We start from the raw sequence: 25313 nt of genomic DNA on the forward strand, positions 1-25313 counted from the left end.
TTCTTTCTCTTGCTTGATTCCCCTGCTTTGCCCTTTTTTTGTTTTGTTTTTTGTTTTTTGTTTTTTGTTTTTTTTTTGAGATGGGGTCTCACTCTGTCACTGGGCTGGAGTGCAGTGGCGCTATCTCAGCTCACTGCAACCTCTGACTCCCTGGTTCAAGTGATTCTCCTGCCTCAGCCTCCCGAATAGCTGGGATTACAGTCACGTGCCACCACGCCCAGCTAATTTTTGTATTTTTAGTAGAGACAGCGTTTCACCATGTTGGCCAGGATGGCCTCGATCTCCTGACCTCATGATCTGCCTGCTTCGGCCTCCCAAAGTGCTGGGATTACAGGCGTGAGCCACCATGCCCAGCCTTTGCCCACTTTTTAATGAAGTTGTCTTTTGCTTGTTAATTTGTTCAGAGTCATGATTTTTAACCTTAGAAAAATTAGGCCTTCACAAGCTAGACATGAAAACACAAGGTATTGTCTCTGGAGCAAACAAGGGCTTTGTGGGCAGGCAGATGTGGGCTCAAGTTAAAGTCTTGCTACCTACCAATCAGGACAATGTGCAAATTACTTCACCTCAGACATCTCCAGCTTCCACATCTGCAAAATAAGGATAATATGCGCCTTGTTAATTTGTTGTGAAAATTAAATCAGATAATACACAAAAGCATTTAATTCATTGCATGAACCCAGTAAATGGCACCTATTACTATCATAAATATGGATAATATTACTGATAACCATTGGATTATCTGCCTTGGGACCACATTGTCCCTTCCTATACTTGATTAGACCAGGCATGGAGACACGGGACCGAAATTTGAACTATAGAGAAGTGAAGTTGGAGCTGAGGCTACTAGTGCTGTTCCTGGGCCTCTTTCCTCCTCTGTTAAGTGAGAATAAAGTGAAACTAAATTCACCTTCTTGCTGTGAGGGTGAATGAGAAATTGTGTACATTGTTTCAGAGAAGGTGTTTATAAAACTCTGCAAGATAGAACCTCACCTCCGAGTTCTGGCTTTCCAGGGCTCCAGTGGACACACCATGGCCCCAGTTCCCCCTTGAAAACTGGCAACTTTTGGCTATGTGTGCAAAGTGGAGGAAGCTGTTTTATAAAGAAATTAAACTTGACGTGCAGAGAAATGGAAGCAAAGGATCCTGAGGCAAAAGAGAAAGAACCAAGCATGAGAGAAAAAAGAAATCTTAGAAATCCTAGAGGATTAAAGTACCCGTATGAGGCCCAGGTCCCTGCCTGGGATCCACCAAGTACCCCTGAATGCTTGCCATAAATACTTCTTTATAGTTTATGCTGCAATGGAATGCTTTCACTTACTATTGGGTGACCTAGACTAACATTATTATTGCTATTATTATTAATATACCATTATCCTAAAGACTCACAGAGAATGAGACAAGGCTCCCATTTGCAGCTGTGAGGTCCAGCAAGTTGCAGGAAGGGCAGGACACAGAGCAAGGCTGGTTGCCCTGGGTTCTCCAACTTCAGCTCAGAGTAGTCCTGGAGGATCAAGAGACCAAGCCTCAGGCAGCCCCTGCATCAAACCTCGGCATCCTCACCTGTTTCTACATGATGAAAACGAAGTTCTCTTCCAGCCCACTCCACCAACATGTGCCCTTTTCAAAATTCACCGAGAGAAATCATCTGGAGGAGATTATGCAAATTCTCCATCCTTTGCAGGTGAACCCCACTTTAATAAATATGCATCTGATTAACAAGGGAAGGTGTTTGCTTTGTAGATCTCACCTCAGTGTTCCTTCTGGAAGCCAGCTTTCCGAGTTCATTTAAACATGAAATTTCCAGCCTGATGTTTTTCATGTTACACAGGGCAAGGGCATAGATCTTAAATGCATATTTCCTGTTGATAAACGCACACATCCATGTATCCGTGATCCAAATCAAGGCACCTGGGAGACCTTCATGGCCCTTCCCAGTCCACCTCTGGTCCCACAGGATGATCACTGCTCTGGTTTCTACCATCAGAGATCTGTTTTGCCTGTTCTCGAGCCTCATATAAATGGAGTGTTGGGGTATATCGTCATTTGAGTATGGTTTGTTGCACTCAGCATAAAGATATGGGATTTATCACCCCCGAGTGATAAATCCAGGGCTCCGGTGGACACACCATGGCCCCAGCTCCCCCCTTGAAAACTGGCAACTTTTGACTATGTGTGCAAAGTGGAGGGAGCTGGTTTATAAAGAAATTAAACTTGACGTGCAGAGAAATGGAAGCAAAGGATCCTGAGGCAAAAGAAAAAGAACCAAGCATGAGAGAAAAAAGAAATCTTAGAAATCCTAGAGGATTAAAGTACCCTCATGAGGTGCATTCCCAGCACCTCGTGCATAGAGACCAGCTGTCCAGAAACTCCCACAAAGACTGGCGGTGGGGGACATAGGCCGGAGGAGCCAGACCCGGTGAGGACCCGTGAGCCGGGGAGAAAGGAAGCTGCTACCGCAGGCTATGGAGGCCCATGTCAGAGGGCCCCGCTCCCTGTGAGCAAGCATGTGTGAGTGTGAGTGGGCATCTGTGGGAAGGCGTTTACGTGTGCCTGAGTTTCTATTTAGAGAGCAGATGTATGTGAGTCTTAAGTGTATGCAGTGTTTCTGTGTCTGGGTCTGGATGTGTTTCTGAATGTGCACTCATGCAAGTGTGTGTGCATCCGTGTGCAAGGCCTCACTCCTGCCCCTCGCTGGTACCTCCAATCCCTGCTCACATTCTAAGGTGGAAGTGGGACCATGGTGTGGCCGTGGGAGTCCTGGAGAGCCAGAATTCAGGGGTGAGGTTCTGTCCTGCAGAGTTTTCTCAGCACCTTCTCTCAAACAATTTACACATTCTCATTCACCTTCACCATCACAGCAACTTACAGGGTTTTTATTCTCACTTTACAAAGGAAAAAACAGGCCCAGGGACAGTGCTAGTAACGAGGAAAGGAAGTAGCTCTAAGCCTACCCTGTCCAATCTCTGGCCACCAACTTCTGGGCCCAGCAGGCCACACATCCAGGGTGCTCCTCGGATGGGGACCCCAACCATCCCCCAATACCTTGCTTGGAGAAGAGGCCCACCTAGGTGCTGGCAGTCAGTGGTGGGGCGGAGCAGAGTGCAAGGCAAGGCCAGCTGCTGAGGCTTCGCAGCATCCCTCCGCCTGGTTAGCTCATCCCCGCATAAACAGTGGGTCGGGAGCCTGCCTTCCAAGTCAGCCAATGCAATGGACACTGAAGGTAAGGAGTGCTATGACCCTGAGATAGTGCAGTTTAACTCCATCACAAGCAAAATAAAGATGCCATGGCCTCGTTTTTTTTGGAGTTACGTCCTATGTACCTTGCCCAAAAACCAGTGTCCTCTGCCCTATGGTGTGAATGTTCCCTCCAAAACTCATGCTGAAATTTAGTTACCACAATGACAGTATTAAGAAGAGGGGCCTTTACGAGGTGATTAGGTCTGCCCCTGATGAATGGATTAATGCCTTTATCATGGGTGGTTTAGTTATCTCAGGAGTGGGTTCCTGATAGGAAGGATGAATTCAGCCCAATTTTTCTCTCCGTGTTAACATCCTTCCATCCTGTTATGATGCAGCCTGAAGGTTTTCACCAGATGTTGGCACCATGTTCTTGGACTTCCCAACCTCCAGAACCATGAGCCCAATAAACTTCTTTTATTTATGAATTACCCGGTCTATGGTATTCCATTATAGCAGTCAAAAACAAAGACTCCACCACCAGTGGAGTGAGGAAGCCATTTGCCCTCGGCCTGTCTAGAGTTGCATTCCATACACATCAGCCAAGAACAGATGCCCTCTGCTTTGTGGGGAGCTGGGACACTATGGATTTCTGACCCAGCAGCCCACCACAGGACGACGAACGCAGCTGCCCCTGTGAGAGGAAGCCTTGTGCTACCCAGACACAGGGAGAAGGCACAATAGGGTGCTGTCCTTAACATTCATTCTGTAGTCACTGTTTCCTAGTGCCTCGCTTTATACTTTTTCTGTTTCTACTTCAGAGGACATTTTTTGGTTTTCTGTCCTGGTCTAATGCATTATTGAAAGGCTTCCTGATCACCAGTCATGCATATGGAGGAGGCTCTGGCCTCATGCTTATGTAGATTTTTCTCTGGCCTCTGAAGTCTGCTGTCAGGCTCTGGAGAGCAACTGCAGCCGCCGGCACTGCCGTGCCAAAAACCCTGCATAGATGACAACAGACAGCATCAGTCTGGCCAGGGAGCCCACCAAGGACACAAGACACCACAAGTCACAGCAATACTCGGTCCTTTCCCAACACTGGCTGTTGAGGTAAAACTGCTCAAAACTGGAAAAATAAGCAAAGAGATGCAACGAGTCACACTCCTGAAAATGAACAGCAATTATTAACCTGCCCCAGGGCAGACCTGTCAGCCTCTCCATAAAAAAAACAAAGCTCAGAAGCCAGATCTCAGCCTGTTCATGGGCAGGCTGCCCAGCCAGCCCCCAGCCTTCTTTACACTCAGTTCAGCTCATCCATCACTGAGGCCACAGTTGTCTGGGGGGCCAGGTCTGCGCTGGGCACAGGAGCATGACAGGCCCACCTGCCCTGCCCTCATCTTACCCAGTCCAACCAGGAGATGAGACAGAAGGCTTCATTCATGCCACTCTGTGGATTGATCTATTCCACAGGTATTTACTGAGCATGCGCTGAATACCTAATTCTATTCTATCAATAGACAAATGGAGCTTATGTTATAGTGAGACGAGACAGAGAATAAACAAAGACAACATGTAGCTAACCAAAGGTGACACTGCTAATGAGCGATTAAAGCAGGGAAGGAGGCAAGGGGTACTGGGGAAGGGTGGTGTCACACATCCAAATGTTTTCAATAGAAGAGAGAAGCTTGTCTTCAGTGGAGAAAGCAAATCTGCACAGACCCCTGTGGGAGGGATTTGGGTGGGTGTTGGGGAGACAGCATGGTCAGAAGGAACAGCAGATGCAGGACCTTCGGGTAGGGAGTGCTTAGCAAATCAGGGACAACCAGGAGACCGTGGGTGGAGGCCGTGCTGGGCCTCAGATTTGCTTCTCTAGGGCTCAGGCATCTTCTGGAATGTGCTGCTGCCTTCTGGGGATAGTCATGCCCCTTGCGGGAGAGGTGGGAATTTGCAGGGGCCTGTTTTGGTTGTCACAGAGATTGGGAGCATTTCTGCCCTTTGCTGCTGGACCAGGGGTGGTGTTGAAGGCTGTGTGCAGGAAAGCCGCACCCCACGAAGAGTTGCCATACCCCAGACCCTCCAATGCCCACCAGGCACAGGCAGGACCTGCCCTCCGGCGCCACCACCCACACCTAACTCTGCTTTGCATGCAGACTGAGGCGTGTGTGCCTAGTGCCAACACACAGTGAATGTTCCGGGACTGCCATGCCACGTAAAAAAAGTTCTCATCACCATGGGCCTCCGTCTGTGGCCACAGCACATTCACCCAGCCCCTGACTCATGGTGTCGTCGGGCTCATGGTGTCGTCCGGCTCACGGTGTCGTCCAGTGGAGCCACGCTTGGCATTTGCTTATTGAAGTGCCTGTCATTTTACTTAAATTGTTTGGTGTTGTTTCTCTTTTATATCATGCACAGCATGGTACAGTTTTTGGAGATGGTGGGTGTAGATGGAGGATACTACAGGAGAACTATGGAGCAGTGGATGCTGGGACCGCTGTCATAGAGGGAATGCGTGGAGCAGGCACTGCCCGGCTGGACCACGGGAGGGGCAGATGGGCAGGAGTCCAGTGAAGAGGCTGGCACCCCAGTCTAGGTGAGAGACAGTGGAGGCATGGGTCTAAGTAGCGCCTGAGGAGGTGAGCAGAAGTGGTCACATTCTGGTCACATTTTAAAGGTAAAACTTTTGGATTTGCTGATAGACCATACATGAGTGTGACAGAAAAACAGGCCTCAAGGATAACTCTAAAACTTTTGGCCCAAACAACTGGAAAGATACAGTTGTCACGAACCGAGAAGGGGAAGATTAAAGATTAAAGAAGTATGGGACTGGGGGGTGCCAGGAGTACAGTCATGGATTATGGAGTTGGAGTTGCCTTTTCATGGAGATGCCAGATAGCCAAATGGATAGTTACTGGGGACAGTAAGAGCAGACAAAGGGCCATGAAACTTAGCCTGGGAGACCAGGTAACTTCCAGGAGGAACAGACACCTGGGCTGGGACTTTGAATGATCAGCAGGAGTTTCCCTGGATAAAGAGGATGCTCCAAGCAGGGAAGTAAGCAGTGTGAGCAGAGGACGTGCTAAAATACATGGCGTCCCAGCCTCCAGGCCACTTTGATGGACAAGCACTGTGTACCCAGGATGTGAGGGCCAGAGCTGATGCCGGCAGGCCACGTGGAGGCTGGGGGTCTGTCTCACAGCAAGGAGGAGCCCTTAGAGGTCTCAGAACAGGCTGAATTCTTCCATCTCTTCTGGAAAGATGACCGCTTTGATCCAGCCCCCACTTCTGAACCAACATCTGCTCACACACCTTTTCATTTTGTTTTGTTTCCCTCTCTCTCCAAATGGACTACATGCTCCTTGGAAGGAAGGTGCCAAGAAGCTTTAGGGAGTTTGGGAAATCACAGCTACACCCCTTGAGAGGTCTCAGGGATGGAACCCTGTTCTATAGGTAGTTGAGCAGAGCCCAGCTCTCTGGATGGAAAGGTGTCCCAGGATAACATGAGACAGTGCATGAGTGCCTGGCACCTGGAGGTGCCCAAGAAACCGCCCTGAGTGAGGCCTTTTCTGGTCACCCTCCAACAGATTGGGCAGAGGTGTGGGTGAGAGCAGGGAGTGTGGCAGGGCCAGGATCACCCTCTGCCTGCCACTGTCCACGCAACATGGGGACACCCACCACCCTCCCAATGCTGTTCCAGGGAAGTCAGACCATGAGCACAGTCGCACCACAGTAAAAGCGGCACCTGCATCTGGATCAGGGTGCCCTGCCCAGTTGCAGGGCCTGGCCACAGCCACCGGGCCATTTGGCCTCCCCATGTGAGGGAGGGCCCCAGCTGTGTTGGGAGGAAGAAAGCTGGTGCCAGGACAGGGGAGAGGTCCAAGCCTCGGCCCCCAGGGCCTTCTTGGGGGTGACCCTGGCCAGCTTCCCACTGCAGTGAAGGTCGATTGGTTGTCACAGGGGCAGCTGGGGTGCCCACAACCTTGCCCCTACGCTGGGGAGCCAGCCGTCCAGGCAGGAGAAGCACCATGACAGGCAGGCCCTGACAGTACCCCTGTAGGAGACAGGGGTGAGGCCAAGAGTAGCAGCTGTGCAGGACCAGCCTGGCTTGGCCTCACCTCCTAGCGATGTGGCCTCTGAGCTGAACCCTGAAGGCTAAGCAAGCACAGCTCCCTAGCCAAGGTGCAGCTCACCTTGTGTCCATCACACCCCACCCCAGGAACCCCTTCAGACATGGTCCTCCTGGTCGCCAGCACATTGCATTTGAATAGGACAGTTGTATTGTACATCTACCTGTGTGCTGTACCCATGTGCCTATGCTTTATTTATGAAAAGATTAAGAGGCTTTCCAGCCCCAACACCCACCATCACCGTGGGGCTGCCTGCTGTGCAGCCATGAGAGGCAGCAGGTGTGAGTTCCAGTCACCCTGGAGCCCCAGGCCTTGAAGGACCAAAGGGCTGGATTCCTGGCCTCATGGGGCCACACCAAGGGGTCGAGATTGTCCTTTGCCCCAGGGAGTTGGATTTTGAGAGGCAAAGGATGGCTAGAAACTGAGGGCACCTGAGCCTGAGCAGCTGGGAGAGCATTGTGGACATCCCGGCCTGTGGCTGAGCTCTGGGAGAGCAGGAGATCATGGACAGCCAGACCTGTGGCTGAGCTCTGGGAGAGCAGGAGATCATGGACAGCCAGACCTGTGGCTGAGCTCTGGGAGAGCAGGACGTCGTGGACAACCCAACCTGTCACGAGCCTGCCACACCAGCTGCCACCCGCCCTGGGTCAGGATGAGGGCGCCAGGAGCCAGATGCTCAGAATTGAGCATGACCCTCATGGATGGCAGGGATGAGGTTTAGTCCCAGAGTCCAAATCCTGAACCCTGTGAAGCCTCCTGGGTCACAGAACAGGCTGCAGCTTCCCAGAGCACACCCTTGGGGGCAGGCAGTAAACAAATACATCACATGACGCTCAGGACGTGGGTCTGAACTGCTGTGGAGAGACTGAGAGTGCCGGCCAGCAGGACCAGGGTGCCCCACAGGTTTCCAGGACCAGAGAGGGCTGGAGCTGCCACCAAGGTGCTGGTGGATGTCCAGGGCCCAGCCAGAATTCAGGAGGGACACAGCAGGGGCAGAAGTGGATAGGGCCACAGAGGCAGAGGATGATGGGTTCTGAGGGAAGAGGCCTGTGGCTCAGACACTGTGGTGAGGCCGAAGGGGCAGCCCATGAGTGTGATCAGGCATTGCCCACAAGGCATTCACAGCATGCAGAACCTCGTGGGAGCCACAAGGTGTGGGAGGAAAGTCCGGGGCCTCCAGCAGCTCGGGGAGACAGCAGGCCTCAGTAGCACCATCCTTGCACTGATGGGCTCAGTGAGTAAGCTCAGCAGGAGCTTCCCTCCTCCTCTTGTCACCTGCGGCCTTCCCTTCACCACAGCCCAGATCTCAGTGTGTCTGGAAAGATCTCGAATCTCAGGGTGGCCTGATCCACACGTGTGTGGGGGAGGGCTTTCACTGAGGTTGGCAATGACTGGCTGATTTCTTGAGAGTTAGTGTGGGTGAGTGTGCGTGTGCATGTACATGAGCATGTGAACGCCAGAGCCAGTGTGCAGAGTGTTTTCTCTTGCCCACTGAGGGATTGAGGCCGTCCTTCAGTCTGCACCACCCTCCAAAGGCAGGAGCAGCTCCCGAAACTGGAGAAACATCGCTCCTGGGTGAGCCCATGGGGGACTCATGGAGGAGGAGGTTGGGCGGCAGAGAGAGGCTTCCCCAGGTGCTGGGGTGAGGCCTTGCCCCTGACGCCCCCTCAGAAGCCCGTGTCCTTCCCTACAATCCCTCTAAATGGTGGGAGCTGCCGATTCCTGAACAGCAGAGATGTGCAGAAGCCACAGCGGCACTCGCCCCATCTCCTCCGTGACCCCTGTGGGAGGACCCATTACCCACAGGAGGGAACTGAGCCCGGGCAGGGATCAAATTTTCTGTTTAGCTGCGGCTTCCTTCTTCTGCATTCGGTGCAAGGAGACATAAACTAAATATAGGTGTTGGGGAAAAAAAGGCAACGGGAAAATGAGAGCAAAAGAGTGTGAGGGAGGCCAGAGTTCACAAGAGAACATTCGATCTTGCTGAGCAGGGACCGCCAGCTGCAGGCCAGGCAGTGGGGCGGCCTGCACGCCTTCACCCACAGTGCCCATCAGGGGAAGCAGTGCTGTGGAGGTGGTGCACTCCTGCTGTGAGGAGACGCCTGGGCTGCAGGAAACACCTCCCTTACTCCCTGTGTCCTCCCTGCACACAGATCCTAGGAGATGCTCCAGGTAAGCCCAGAGTCTGGGGAAAACCTGGGAGCGGCCAGCAGTTTTGGGGGTGGGACAGAAGGTGAAGCCCGTAGCATGCCGCACGTTTGGTCTGATGGCTGGCCCCACAGTACAGCAGTGAGGAGGTCTCCTTCCACTGGGGAACATCACATGAGCTCCCAAATGAATCAAATCCAAGTGGAGCTCCCAGCTCTGGTACCTCTAAGGCAAACGGAGACTTTACCGCAGAAACTCGGCTTAGCACCACTAGTGCGGAACAGTAGTTTCCACCCTGATGTCTTCCAGAGGCTCAGTAAATGGCCATTTCCATCCACACCTCCCATTAAAAAGAGGCAGGCTTCCACGGGGGGGTGCTACATGGGAGCTGAGGGAAGACCTGCACCGGTCAGAAATCTTGTCTGCGCTGTCTACACTAGTCCCATAAAAGGTCATGGAGCAGGGGAGAGGTGTCCTTGGGGCATCTTCAGGTCCTCTGGGTTCATCTCGCTCACCTCCTCCTCTTTCCTGAAACTGCAGATTCAGTTCACTCATTCTTTCATTCATTCATTCATCCATTCATTCATCCAACAAAGATTTAGGGGCAGCTACTCTACCTGGGGCTGGGGCATGGCAATGAGCAAGGCTGGGTTCCCACACACCATGAGGTCAGGTCTGGTGGGAGAGCCGGGCAAGCAACCACCCACAGTGCATTTACACAGTCACCATGGCCACAGTAAAACACTGCCCCACAGTCCTGGGAATGATATCCCAGCCAAGGACCGAGGAATGTGAGGAGTTGGCCAGGTGGAGGCAAGAGGAAGTGCCCAGTGATGGGAGTGGAGCCTGCAAGGGCCTCAAGGGAGGATACTGGGTGACTGGGGCCACCCGGGGTCTCAACATGAAGTGGCACCTTCTGTAACTGGAAATCGCAAGCTCGCCTTTGCCGCAAGGCTAGCAGCACGTGGAGCTGCCTGAGCAGTCCTCCCTGGGTGTGCAGTTTGCAGGGGCCTCTCGCCCGGCTGACCTGCAAAGAATTGTTTTGAGACCTCCCTCGCAGTGTTCACATTTTCACATTTTCTATCTTTTTTAAAAAATGTAAAAAGAGTTGCAGATCCTCCTGTAGTAGCACCCTGTCAAATTCTTTTCCCATCTTGTCCCTCACTTCACCTCCCATTCCTTCCACCTTGTGAACTCCGGCCCCTCTGGTTCCAGACGATTCCAGGTCTCCATCAACAAGTTTGCATGAAGACAAGAAAAGGAAAAGCACTCGTCTCTGTGCACAGCCCTCAGCGGTACACAGAACATGTTTCCCCAGAGGAGCCCAGTACGATGCCAACGTTAATTTACAGCCTGCAGATCCCTCATCACAATTGTAGTTACATCATTATTGGTGCCATTTGGGGGGTAAGTTTTCAAAGATTCTGTTTTGGTGGTTTGTGCACATTGAGTGCAGAGATGAGTTTATATTCCACAATATACAGACTATGCCCTGTCTACTTCTATATTAAAATTTATAGATCTATTGATGTCAACATAGGTATAAGTACAAATGACACAGAGATAGAGACATACAGCTCACTCCCTCATTGCTTATTCCCATCCTCATTTCCTAGATGCACACGGGAGCCAACTCCACCGTATTTGATACATTGAATATGCACGTCCTTAAATATGCACATCTCTTTGTAAAAGATGTAGTGGTGTTTGGTAGATATACATATGCCATAAATTATGTGAGTTACATCAGATGTTAAATCTCATTCTGTTTCTTCTTCGTTTTCACTTGACCATAAGTTTTCAAGATGTACCGTGTTGCTCTAGCTACAGCTAGATTATTGCTTCTCAGTGCTGCCTCGTGTTATTCCACAGTTTGTTTCCACCTTATTTTATTTCCAGCTCTCTGTAGTGGACACCAAGTTCCCACACCTCATTGTATCATAAACAGACAGGCAATCCCCTGCGAGTATCTCCTGATGGATCTGGATCAGGGTTCCTCCAAGACGCTTAGGAGGAGTTGGGCAGCTGGTACCAGGCCAACCCACACACTGCACTGGGCCGAGTCCTCTGGGGTGGCTGCAGCAGTCCACACCCCAAGGCTCCCGTTAGCCCACAGCCTTCTCAATATGTGAACCCATCCCTGGTCTGATTGTTGCTATTCTGTTGCATGTAAAGCACTGTCTTGTTTTAATTTTAACTTGCATTGTGAACATGTTTTCATGGATTTTTTAGTCATTTGGGCTTCCATTTCTGTGAATTGTTATTCATTACCTTTATTCATTTTCCTATTGCAGCGGTCTCTCTTTTCCTTGTATTTTGAAGGAATTCTTACTGGCTTTGCCTACTCCTATTGGTTTTCCCTACTGTAACCCTCACTGAACAGAAATCCCTAATTTAAGGTAATCTAATGTCCACCTTTACACTTTAAGTTATGATTTGACAACTTTGTTCAAGTAATTATTTGCTTAATCTCTGCCATCCCCAGTAGACTCCAAGGCTAGGAACCATGGCAGTCTTGTACCACTCAGTATCCAGAAGAGCATTTATTCATTCATGAATAAATATTTGGGGAAATGAATGAGACCAGCACCTGGCACATTGTACACACTCAGTAAAGGGAAGCTCCTATTTTGAATGAATGAGATTTTCTCAGGGGAAAGCTCTAAATAAATGTAATGAAACAATCTTCTGCAGAGAGAAACACAAAATCAAAACCAAGAAAACTGAAGCTAAAACGGTAAGCAGGAAGGACCTCCTGGATTTCAGAAAAGGTTTGAATGTTTTCATCGAGCACAGAAAGCCTTTGTGATGCATGGATCCAGATCTCTCTCTGACTCAGGAATGACATTGCCACTGCAGGGTCTTTGTTTGTTTTGGCTTTAAAATAGAGATGTGACAGTTATGCATGGATGATGCAGAAGTCAGGATGATGCAGAAGTCAGGATGATGTGCCAGGTTTGAGTGACTCACATGCAATACAGTGAGACTCTCTTCCTGGAATCCCTCTACAATATGTGACTAGCTCCTCTAATTCCAGAACCATGTTCCATGAGCACACCATTGCCTTCTCTGGATTCTTTGGGAGTCATCTGTGAGATCTTAATCATTACAATTGGATTGTCTTACTATCTAAAGTTTTATAGAAGGAAAAATAAATCACATATTTAGCAGAGTTTCAGGAAGGGTCACCCACCCCCATTCTTTCCCCTACTATTGGGAAACTGCCTGATGCCAGAGAGCAGCACAGACGTGGGACACAGATCAGGCCCTCATGAGCCAGTGAGGATCAAAGGACATCTCGGGAGGATCAACTTCCAGCGTGAGGGGCTCCACTGAGCTGGTCCCCAGGAAAAATGGTGAAAATTGGTTTAAAATACACAATCAGTAAAGATTTCCAAAAACAGTAGCAAAAAGCAAATGAAGAGACATCTATTCAAGAAAATGTATAAAACATAGGTGAGAAAGGCACATATCTAGGCATATACTCAGGAGAGTCTATGATGTTAGAACCAGGACAGCTCCTTTCCTCCTCGCTCTCAGCTAGGTAAGGCAGAGACTCCACTCCACACTGCCTCAGCCAACAACACAGGGCTCCCTCTCCCCTCTGTTTCCAGTCAGAGAGCTTTCTTCCTGCGAGGAGTTGGATGTCAGCATTTCTCATCCTGCCCCCGCCACCTGCTGCTGAGGCTAAGTGCTGGGTGAATGCAATCGAAAAGTGGAGACTCCACTCTTCCTTCCAGCTTCCACTCAGGAGTTGAGGCTCTACCTTGGGCACAGTGCACTGAAAGTACTGCAGCCTGATAGCAACTCTTCCAACTCGGGAGGTGATGGTTCCACACCAGGAGAGGACCCCAGGATACCGCCCCCCACCCTGCCAAGCATTCAGTTACTGGAATGGGGGTATCCCTCAGAAAGAAGCTTGTCATTGTCCCCACCCCCAGCTCCAGAGCCCTGGCTCAGAGATTTTTGCCTGGAGGCCTGGGGGAGGGGAGAAGTTAGAGAAGAAGCAGGTCTGAAACAGATAACTCCTATGTCTTCCCAAAGGAATTAATTTCATTTATAACAGAGTGTGCAGAAGTTCAAGTTCAAGAGCACTCTTAAGAATGGTGGAGGTTGTGGTGAAAGCAGTTGGGAAGAGATTCATGGATTTAATGAAGACACAGCCTAGACTGTAGGCTGGCTGGCTTGTAGGAGAGAACTGGTGAATAAGACAGCTGGACAGGAGCCCTCCTAGGGTCAGAACAAATATCAAACACAAATCTCAGACTATTTCTGAAAAGGAGCCATGATTTCACTGGTTTAAGCTGAAGAGCAATTTATGCCCTTAGAACATTATTGAAAGGAAGCATTATGCAAATAACCAATAAGTACATGAAAAGATGCTTGACATCATTAGTCATCAGGAAATTGCAAATACAGATCACAATGAAATACTACTGCACACCCACCAGGATGGCCATAATAACATAGTCAGATAATAACAGGTGTTGGCAGGGATGCGAAGAAATTTGAAGCCTCATACACTGCTAATGGGAATTTAAAATGATGCAGACACTTTGAAATACAGTGTGGAAGTTCCTTAAACAATTAAATGCAGATTTACCATATGACCCAGCAATCCTACTCCTAGGCATATACCCAGGAGAAATGAAAACATATGTCCACACAAAAACTTGTATGTGAACGTTCATAGCAACATTGTTCATAATAGACAAAAGGTGGGAAAAACCCAAATACCCATCAATTGACAAACGAAGTGTGGTATAGCCATACCATTCCATAAAAAGCAATGTAGTACTGATACGTGCTACATCATGGATGAAACTTGAAAACATGCTAAGTGAAAAAAACAGGCACAAAAGACCACATATTATATAATTGCATTTAAATGAAATGCCCAGAATAGGGAAATCTATAGAGACAGAAAGTAGACTAGAGATTGCTTAGGACTGGGGGAGGCATATGGAGAGATAGGAAGATGAGCTAAAAGTTCTTTCTGGGGTGATGAAAATGTTTTAAAATCGGCTGCAGTGATAGTTATGCTAAAAACCGTTAACTTGCAGACTAAATAGTTAAACTTTATAGTATGTGAGTTATATCTTAATAAAGCTGCTTTCAGAAGTCTTAAGCTGTTTCCATGAGTAGACATATAGAACAGTCTCATTTTTATGATGACTTCATAGCATTCCACAGCACAGATGTGCCATGATTTTGTCTTAACCACTACCCTAATGACGGATACTCATGCTGTTTCTGATTTTGCACTATTACTGACAATGAAGTAAAGAACGCCTTGGCAGTACTTCCTTGTGTTCATATGTAGACATTTAGTGGGCTGTTTTCCTAGATCTTTTAGCCCACAGAAGACTAGAGTTATTGCTAAAGATTTTAAAAGTTAAATAAATAATTGTCTTCTGAGAGCAACATGACAGGGTTTTGTCTGCTACGGCAATCCTGGCTCAAGCCTTCTGTGATCGGTTATCAACATTTATTCATTTGGCTATTCCTGTCATCTTTAATTTGTCAGATTTATTAACGATCAACTTTAGCCAGGCCCTCGACTGCATGCTGACGATCTAGGCAGGATCTCAGGCTGGGGCAGGGTAGCGGGGTGTGGGTAGGGGTGGTGAACAGGTGACTGCAACACTCTCTGGTGAACACCAAGCACTCAACCCAGCTTCCTGAGGGTGCTCTGTCCTCCAGAATGGCTGGCTAGCCAGGCTCACACCAAGCCCTTGGCCACCACCATGCCCCACAGACAGACAGATCTAGTCTTCCCATATATAAGAGTTATAAGAGTAATCGTGGCAACATATGCTTAATAACATGAAAATACACACTACATGCACACACACACACACACACGAAAAAAGTCTAGGAGCACACAAATGCCCATCACAAATAGAAGGATGGGCAACTGTGGCATGAGCATCTGAAGGAACAGCAAGGGAGCAGCACAAAGCTGCAGCTTGGAGTGTGAGGGTTCGCTTGTGTTCATGTGAAATCGCTCCACATGAACACACAGGGCACGGCAGCACCCCTAGAAAGGGGCCCAGATGACGAACAGGATGGGAGAGACTCACTGTTCAGCATACCCTCTGCATCTTTTGGATTTTGTAGCATGTGCATATTTAAAGGAGTAACAAGATTACTCCTTCAGGGGCTCCCGTTGCCTCCACAGTGAAATCACACTTTCAATACATGATGAGACTGCGTCTTCACCTTCTCCCAGCGCATCCTTATTTCACTTCTTCCTTCTTCCTGGGCACCCCTCCAGCTGCAACTCCTGGGTGGAGCATGCCTTTCCCTCATTTGCATCTGCCTCTTTGCCTTGGAGGTACCCTCAGGCCACTTGGAGAAACCTCCTCTGGCCCCTTGACTACTCTGGGGTCCCCTCGACTACTCTGGGGGACCCTCTGAGCTCAGAATTCCCCTAGAGGAGTACCCCTCATCCAAACTGGCAGTGGGGCCACCAGACCCCAACTTCCTGGTTCAGGGCTTGCAACATGGTAATGTCAACCAAAATTAAGGCTGCCGAGGCAGAAATAAATTCATGAAGGCTTACTGGACACCAAATGTGACGATCATCCAAGGAAGACATGTCAGCAGAGTTAGGCATGCTCCACAGTCGGCCACACGTGGAAGGATTTTCTGGGAAAGCTGAGGAGAAGGGAGGGGAGGACTCATGCCGGAGCTGTCCGCTTCACTGCAAGCTCCAATGCAGGGGTTCGGTCATTGGCCACGGACAGCAACACACAGACTAAAAGGCCCTACATGCAAGACAAGCAGCAAAGCTTCATGATTTAGAAACAAATCAGTGTTTTTTCAGCGTCAGTGGGTTGTTTTTTTGTTTGTTTTGTTTTGTTTTGTTTTGTTTTTCTGAGACGTCATCTTGCTCGTTGCCCAGGCTGGAATGCAATGGCATGGTCTCCGCTCACTGCAACTTCTGCCTCCTGGGTTCAAGCAATTCCCCTGCCTCAGCCTCCCAAGTAGCTGGGATTACAGGCGCATGCCACCACACCCAGCTAATTTTTGTATTTTTAGTAGAGACGGGGTTTCACTATGTTGGCCAGGCTGGTCTCAAACTCTTCACCTCGTGATCCACCCGCCTTGGCCTCCCAAAGTGCTGGGATTACAAGCATGAGCCACCGCGCCCAGCCGGGTTACCTACTAATCTGTACTTCAACAGTTTGAGGAAACTCACGACAAGATCTGTGGGACTCAGGATAAGATGCTTCACTCAGGCACAGGATGCAAGCCACGAAGCTTAAGGCCTCCCTGAGGGAGCAGTGTGGCAGCTGCCAATATGGGCTGCAGGTTATCAGCGAGCACTCAGGCACCATTTGTCAATGTGTGCACAAGACGGAGGGGGAGAGAGAGGCAGAGGGAGAGTGAGGGAGAGAGAAAAGAATGAGTGAGAGAGCAAATGAGACACGGAGTGAGACGGTGAGAGAATGAGAGAGAGTGGGAGATGGAGTGAGTGGGAGTGAGACGGGGAGAGAGATGGAGAGAGTGAGACAGTGAGGGAGACAGCAAGTCGCCAGTCTCAGGCCCAGTTCCGCTGCTTCCTCCTAACCTGCTGAAAGCCCCACCGGCACCACAGAGAGGCGAGCTGACCTGCCCCAAGTCTCCAGCTTGTAAGAGGGGCCTGGGACTCAGACCGGATTCCAAACCCCAGCCTCCTTCAGCTTCCCCACCCTGCATTCCAGAAGGTTTCTCAACCCCATGCAAGAAGGAGATTATCGCCTACTAAGAAGCTTCCTGGGCTCCCTGGGGCCTCCTCAGCCTCCATCCACCTGTCAATCCTCCCTCAGGCTATCTCTGCACGTTTTTCACCATTTGGACTGACAGAGGTTTAGAACATTTTTGCTTTGATTATGTCCATTATTTAAAGATTCTCCCTGGAGTTTTGTAGCTAAAGACACCAAAAGGTGAAAAAGAAATTCACTAACCAAGTTCTATAATATGGTGCTTTATTCCAAAAATGATAGTGAGATATTTTAGTCGTTACCACTTACCATGACTTTCTTGTGGTGTTTTCCAACTTCTGGCATTTCAGCTACAAATAAAATAAAATAAAATATTACGAATCCTCAGTTCTGTTCCTTGGAAACACGGGCCCCCGGATGGAGCCTAAGTCACAATCCCTACCCTTATGCCTTCTATGATCTGGGAGGGAAACCAGAATAAATATGCTAGGATGCAGTAAATGAGATCAGAGAAATACCTCATCCATACGGGAATGTAAAGGCACAGCCACCTTGGCCCAGTGCGGGACAGCCCAACTGCCACTCCGGCATGGAGCTGCCTGTCCTCAGCCTGCCCCGGAGCTCAGCTCTGCCCTGCTCACTCCCACTTCCTTCTGATTTTCAGCACTCTAATGGCTTATACGACGCTGTGAGTTTAATTTGCATTTCTCTAATGACCAATGACGTTCAGCACTTTGCATGTGTGTAACAGCCATCTGCATATCCTCTTTGGTGATGTGTCTGCTGAAATTTTTGGACTATTTTCTTACATCTTCATAATTGTTTATAGGGACTATCTCCACTGTCCTTCCTTCATGCCTTCATCAAAATCAGTTGTTCACACGTATGTTCATCTCTTGATTTTCTACCCTATTCCGTTTATCTATTCATCTATGTTTACTGTTTTATTACTACAGCTTATAATGTCTTTCCATTTTCATTCACTTTAAAATTCTTTTTTTTATTTTATTTTTTTTTTTTAGTATTTATTGATCATTCTTGGGTGTTTCTCGGAGAGGGGGATTTGGCGGGGTCATAGGACAATAGTGGAGGGAAGGTCAGCAGATAAACATGTGAACAAGGGTCTCTGGTTTTCCTAGGCAGAGGACCCTGCAGCCTTCCGCAGTGTTTGTGTCCCTGGGTACTTGAGATTAGGGAGTGGTGATGACTCTTAACGAGCATGCTGCCTTCAAGCGTCTGTTTAACAAAGCACATCTTGCACCGTCGTTAATCCATCTAACCCTGAGTGGCCACAGCACATGTTTCAGAGAGCACGGGGTTGGGGGTAAGGTTATAGATTAACAGCATCCCAAGGCAGAAGAATTTTTCTTAGTACAGAACAAAATGGAGTCTCCTATGTCTACCCCCCTTTACACTGACACAGCAACAATCTGATTTCTCTTTCTTTTCCCCACATTTCCCCCTTTTCTATTCGACAAAACCGCCATCGTCATCATGGCCCGTTCTCAATGAGCTGTTGGGTACACCTCCCAGACGGGGTGGTGGCTGGGCAGAGGGGCTCCTCACTTCCCAGACGGGGCGGCCGGTCAGAGGCACCCCCCACGTCCCGGACGGGGCGGCTGGCCGGGCGGAGGCTTCCCCCAACCTCCCTCCCGGACGGGGCAGTTTAAAATTCTTTCTGATCTTCCTTTTGATTTGTTTTGACCCATGAATTATTTAGATGTGCATTATTTAATTTCCAAACACTTGGGGATTTTCCAGATATCTTTCTAATGCTGATTCCTAATTTAATTCCATTTTGGCCAGAGAACAGGCTCACTATGACAGAAATCCTTTCGCATTTACTAAAGCTTATTCTGTGGCCCAGAGAATACTTTATCTTGGTAAATGTTTCATGTGCACTTGAAAAAATGTGCATTCTTCTAAACATAGGAGGGTTCTATAAATGTGAGTTAGATCACATTTGGTTTCCAGTTTTGTTTCTGTATTCTTACTGATTTTCCATCTACTTATTTTCTCTGTGTGTCACCCAGGTTGGAGTGCAGTGGTGCAATCAAAGCTCCATAAGCTCAAACTCCTGGGCGCAAGTGATTATCCCTCCTCAGCCTTCCGAATAGCTGAAACAACAGGAATGTGCCACCAGGAAATTTTTTTTTTTTTTTTAGAGACAATGTCTCACCATATTGCCCAGGCCGGTCTTGAACTCCTGGGCTTAAGCAAAATAGCCGCCTTGGCCTCCCAACACACTGGGATTACAGATGTGAGCCACTGCACCCGGCCCTGTGTACTTATTTTCAACAATTATTTAGAGAAGAGTGTTGAATTGTCTAACTATATTTTTTGATGACCTTCTCTGTCCATGGTAACATTTTTGCTCTGAAATCCACTTTACTTGGTATCAAAATGGTGACTCCTGAATAGCACTGGTGTGAAGTGTGTTCCATTCTTTCACCTCTGATCCAATGTTGCGTGTTGCATATGTGCACACTTGTGTGGTTGGCACTTGCTTTTTAATCCAATTGAAGCAATCTCTAACCTTTAATTGGGCTATAGTTTAGGTTTGTTTCATTTAATACAATTATTGATTTGGTTAGGTTTAAAGCTAGTGTCTTGTCATTTGTTTTATCTTAATCCAATCTGTCACTTGTTTTCTGTTTCTTTTTTGGCATTTTTGATTAACTAAGGATTTCTTACATTTTCACATTATTTCTTTTATTGGATTATCAGCTACAACTGTTGTCTTATTTCAGTGGTTGTGTTAGGGCTTACACTATACTTCTTTTCACAGTCTATACACTAAAGAGATATTATGTCACCTCAACTGCAACACAGGTCGGGTATCCCTTATCCAAAATCTTGAGACCAGAGGTGTTTCAGATTTCAGCTTTTTTCAGATTTTTGAATATTTTGAAATATTATACTTACTGGTTGAGCATCCCTAGCCTGAAAATTTGAAATCAAAAATTCTTCAATGAGCATTTCCTTTGAGCATCATGGCAGCATTCCAAAAGTTCTGGATTTTTTTAGAGCATTTTGGATTTCAGACTCTTGGGTGAGGAATGCTTGCCCTGTCTATGACCCTTATAACAATATACTGTGTTTTCTCTCCTGCATTTGTGCTAGTGTCTCACAGTTTACCTGTCCATATTTTACAAATCCCCAATGCACTGTTATTTTGTTTTAAAAAGTTGATTCTCTCTTTTAAATAACATTTCTATTGCTTTTCATTCCTTTGTGTAGACACATTTCCATCTGGTGTCACTTTCCATCTGCCTAAAGGACCTTCCTTCACATTTCTTGTAATGCAGGTCTGAGGCTCATCAGTTCTTTCCGTTTTTGTGTGTTAGGGGGAGGAAGGTCTTTATTTCATTAAGTGAAAGATATTTTCTCTAGGTAAATGTTTTCTTTCAGCACTTTAAAGATGTTGTTCTGTTGTCTTCTCATTGCATTGTTTTTAATGAGAAATTTGCTGTCATCCTTATATCTGTTCCTTTGTACCTAATGTTTCTTGTGTATCTGACTACTTTTAAGATTTTCCCTTATCACTGGATTTGAGCAACTTGATTATGATGTGTCTTGGTGCTATTTTCTTTATATTTCTTATGCTTCGGGTTTGTTGAGCTTCTCGAGTCTATGGGATATAATTTTTAACAAATTTGGAAAATTCGAAGAAAACCGTATTCCTTAAAATATGTTTTCTGTCTCCCTCTCCTTCTACAACTATAATTACTCATGTATTTGGATATTCAACTGCTTAAAGTTAACCCACAGCTCACTACTATTTTTTTAGTCTTCTTGTTTCTCTATTTTTCATTTCTCTGTTTTGTATTTCTTGATAGTTTCTTTCCTTGTCTTTAACTTCTCTAATCATTTTCTCTGAATTGTCTAAACCATCCTAAGTATTTTTGTCTCACGCATTGTGGCTTTCATCTTGAGAAGTTTGTTTTGGATCTTTTCTAAATCTTCCTTGTATCTAGTTAACATGATCAACCTCTTCCTCTATTATACTAAATATATGAAACATTCCTATAATACTTGCTTTGATGTCCTTGTCTACCAGTTCTATTATATCATTTGTCATTTCCGGATCACTGTTGGTTGATTGATATTCATACCCATTGTGGGTCATTTTTTCTTCTTCACATGCTAGTAACTTTTGATTGAGTGCCGTGCATTGTGAATTTTACTTTGTCAGATGCTGTATATTTTATATTCCTGTAAATAGCTTTGAACTTTGTTTTGAGTTTGATCTTTTTGATCTTGCTTTTATGCTTTGCTAAGTGGGATCAGAGCAGCATTTAGCCTACGGCTAATTTAATCCTTCACTGAAGGAAAACCCTTCTAAGTACTCTAACCAGAGCCCACTGAATTTGTTTTCTACTCTGGCTGGGGAGAACAGGCACTATTCCCAGCCCTGTTTGATCTATGGAGAATGCTCCTTCTAACGTTATGTGTAGCTCTTTCTCTTTCCCATCCTCTGACCAGTATAGCTGAGTGGTCGGGGAGGATCCTCTGCAGACCTCCACAGCTCTCACTGTGTACCCTTCTCTCCTGTGAATTCCAGCTGCCTTGGACTTCCTAACTTCATCTCTGGTTTTTCATCTTAGTGAGTATACCGAGCTTTGCCTGGCCTCTTCCTTTTACCACCTGTGTCGTGCACTGGGCCCAGCGCAAGGCTCCACTCACCTGCTTCCCTGTTCTCATGGATCATTCCCCCTTCATTGCCTGGTACCCAATAGCTGGACAACTGTTATTTCAATAATGTGTCCCATATTTTTACATTTATCAAACAGGAGGTAAATCTGGTCCTTATTACTCTATCTTTTCCAGAAGTAGAAGCTATAGAAATGTTTGTGTCATCCGAGAGTCACACAGATGAATGCTGGCCATGCCATTCATACCCTTTCTCCAGGAGGTGATGCTCTGTCAGCTGGCAAGAGTCTGGCTTGACAGGCAACCTCAGCCCTGATGTGCAGGTGAGGACCTCAGCTCTCCGACTTCATGTCATTAAACACCAAGTCAGTCACACCCTTTGGAAGTCATCTGTAACTCAATTGCAAGGAGGGAATCCACAACTCAGATAGCGGTGAGTGTCTGGTAATTGCGTTCCCCATGGGGCACCAGTTAAATTGGCAAGTCTGTGATGCCAGGCTCTCCTGTGAGCTTTGTGAGCCCAACTCAACCTTGGGAATGTAAGGATGTAGGCTTTCTGAGTCCCCAGGCTCTGGGTAGATTATCAAGGTGAGAGCAGCTGTCAGAAACTGGCCCAACTGCTGTTCCTCATGTGACACCCAAAACACACTGCATGTCATCATGCCTAACATTCTGCAAGCTGCTGCATATAATAGGGTTACCCAAACAGTTGGACCTTGTATCTCTAAAGATCCAAAAACTTCATGTTAACCGTTTTGATGGAGTTTATGCTAATGTGTCTATTTTAAATATTTTAACAATAACAGGCAGAAATAAATGAGCAACTAAAGTCACACACTATTGTCAGCACAGTAAAGAGAACATAACATAACCCCTGCATGGTCATGCATCAGGATCGCAAGCACCCCTTCTGTGAGAGGGTGTTAGCTCTGAGGACCTGGGAGGGTGACAGCAATTGGAAGATGTCAGTTCCTTCCCATTTCTATGAACACTAATGAGCTGTGTGGCATACAGCCAAGTCTGTGGCCCTCTCTGTCTCCACTTCCTCATCTGAAACGATGGCAGTAGAACTTTCCCTTCCTGGGTTGTCAAAGTCCACGGAGAAGCATAAACCATGATTCACATGTGAGGAAGTACGCAGGTTTCAAAGGCCCTGGTCTTTGTATAACAGCATGCTGTTCAGGCCACACTCAACAGAACCAGTCATCAGTTTCCACCACATCAGATAAAACACTTCCCACCTGAGGCCTTTGCCTCTGACAGGGTGTTTTCTTAGGAGAGACATTCTGTTAAATGATAAAGCAGATTGCTTAGAGGGGCAGTCTGCAAAGGCTCTTGTTTTTCTAGAGAAGTTATCCTTAAAGGGACAATCTGGGATTTCAGAAAATGGGACTAAGCCAGTAAGTGTTACGTATTATAAAGAGAATTGAGCAAACAGGGCCTTCAGCAACACTGCCCTGCAAGTGGTAACCAAGCCACCTTTGATGGAGACATTTTATGGGGAATTCTTTGCATCAGCATGAGAGGTCAGGTCAGTGTTGGTCCCTCAGAAAACTAAAACCCATCAGCTTCCCACGGAAATACAATCTCCCTCCCCATTGTCCCAGTGGGAAGGCGGGTTCATCCTGGGTGCAGCCTCACAGGAAGTGAGTCTGGAAGCTTGCAGGTGTGCCCAACCCTCCCCTTTGCTCAGGCCTCTTCCTCCCCTCCCACACCTGCCCACACACAGGCCAGTGCCCTCTCACCTCCCCTCTGCTCAGGCCTCTTCCCCGCCCCCCCACCTGCCAGTGCCCTCTCACCACCACTCTGCCAACTGCCAATTGTTAGCCAGTCCATCTCCCTCACCATCCCAGACTCCTTATCCCCATTCACCCCCTGATATCCCCACGGCACCTAGAGTGCACTGGCCATCCAGGACATGCTGCTCAATGAAACTGACCTGACTCTCCTCTCATCCCTCAGATCCCAGTTCCTGTGGCTTCCAGAATGAAAATTCGACTGCATCATCCATGTTTAGCCCTTGGATTTAGCCCATGGATTCCCTCAGGTCTTTGGGGGTGCCTACAGCCTCCCATGCCTGGGCCCTGTCTCCCACTCCAGCTGCATCTCTTACTATGTCCTCCTTGAGGTTTCCTCATTCCTGACCATCTGCAGTTCTGCAAAGATGTCCTGGACACAGCAGACACAGAGCATGGGGAGAGACAGCCCAACCTACATAGAGGAGGGGTGGGTAGTAGGGGAAGGAAACGCCTTAAGATAGGCAGAGGGGACCACATTTCCTTCTAATCACAGTCAGATCCGCTGTAGCAATTTTTTCTGAATGGGTTATTTCACAAGCACTTACTGAGCACCTAAAATGTGCTAGTACCTAGCCTAGGAGGTGAGTAGTAAACTATGTCGCCCTCTAAAGGACAGCATTCAGCATAGGGCAGACACTGAGTGCAACAACACAACAATGGGATTCTCAGAACATAGGGTGCTCAGGGAGAGGGGAAGTTAAGTATGCCTTGGTCTGGGCAAGGGACAGTGATATGGTTTGGATCTGTGTCCCCGCCCAAATCTCATGTTGAATTGTAATCCCCAGTGTTGGAGGTGGGGCCTAGTGGGAGGTGATTGGAGCATGGGGACAGATGTCAACCTTGGTACTGTCCTGAGTTCTCATGAAATCTGGTTATTTGAAAATGTGTGGCACCTCCCCTCTCTTTCTGTCTTCCTCCTGCTTTAGCCATGTGAAGTAGCAGCTCCCCATTTACCTTCCACCACGATTGTAAGTTTCCTGAGGCCTCCCCAGAAGCTGATGCTGCCACGCTTCCTGCACAGCCTGCAGGACCATGAGCCAATTCAACCTCTTTTCTTTATAAATTATCCAGTGCCAGGTATTTCTTTACAGCAGTGCAAGAGTGGACTAATACAGAAAATTGGTACCAAGGAGAGGGATACTGCCATAAAGATTCCTTAAAATGCAAAAGTGGCCTTGGAACTGGGTAGCAGGCAGAGGTTGGAAGAGTTTGGAGGGCTCTGAAGAAGACAGGAAGATAAGGGAAAGTTTGAAACTGTTGACGAAAAGAGTCAAACTCTGTAAAATATTTGAAGAGATTTCTGAGCCAAATATGAGTGACCATGGCCCATCACAGCCCTCAGGGGGTCCTGAGAACATGTGCCCAGGGTGGTGGGGGTACAGCTTGGTTTTATGTATTTTAGGAAGGCATGACACATCAATCCAATACATTTAAGAAATACATTGGTTTGGTTTAGAAAGGCAGGACAACTCAAAGAGGGGGCTTCCAGGCTATAGGTAAATTAAAACATTTTCTGGTTGACAATTGGTTGAGGTTGTCTGAAAACCTGGGATGGATAGAAAGGAATGTTCAGGTTAAAGATAAAGGATTGTGGAGACCAAGTTTTATTGTGCAGAGGAAGCTGTTAGATAGCAGACTTTAGAGAGAGCAGGTTGTAAGTTGTTTTTTATTGGACTAAAAGGTTTCCTGGCTCTTAGTTG

At 47.6% G+C, this 25313-nt stretch overlaps 1 long non-coding RNA gene across 1 annotated transcript; it reads right to left on the bottom strand.

The window, feature by feature from the left end:
* Positions 1–337: 337 nt before the first annotated feature.
* Positions 338–17535, bottom strand: LOC107985945 (uncharacterized). Its single transcript, XR_001739711.1, has 3 exons — positions 17471–17535; positions 16018–16222; positions 338–590 (listed from the first exon to the last, which is right to left on the bottom strand). It is a non-coding gene; the product is annotated as an uncharacterized LOC107985945 (long non-coding RNA).
* Positions 17536–25313: the final 7778 nt, after the last annotated feature.

This window comes from Homo sapiens, chromosome 2, assembly GCF_000001405.40.
Source record: "Homo sapiens chromosome 2, GRCh38.p14 Primary Assembly".
NCBI classification, from domain to species: domain Eukaryota; kingdom Metazoa; phylum Chordata; class Mammalia; order Primates; family Hominidae; genus Homo; species Homo sapiens.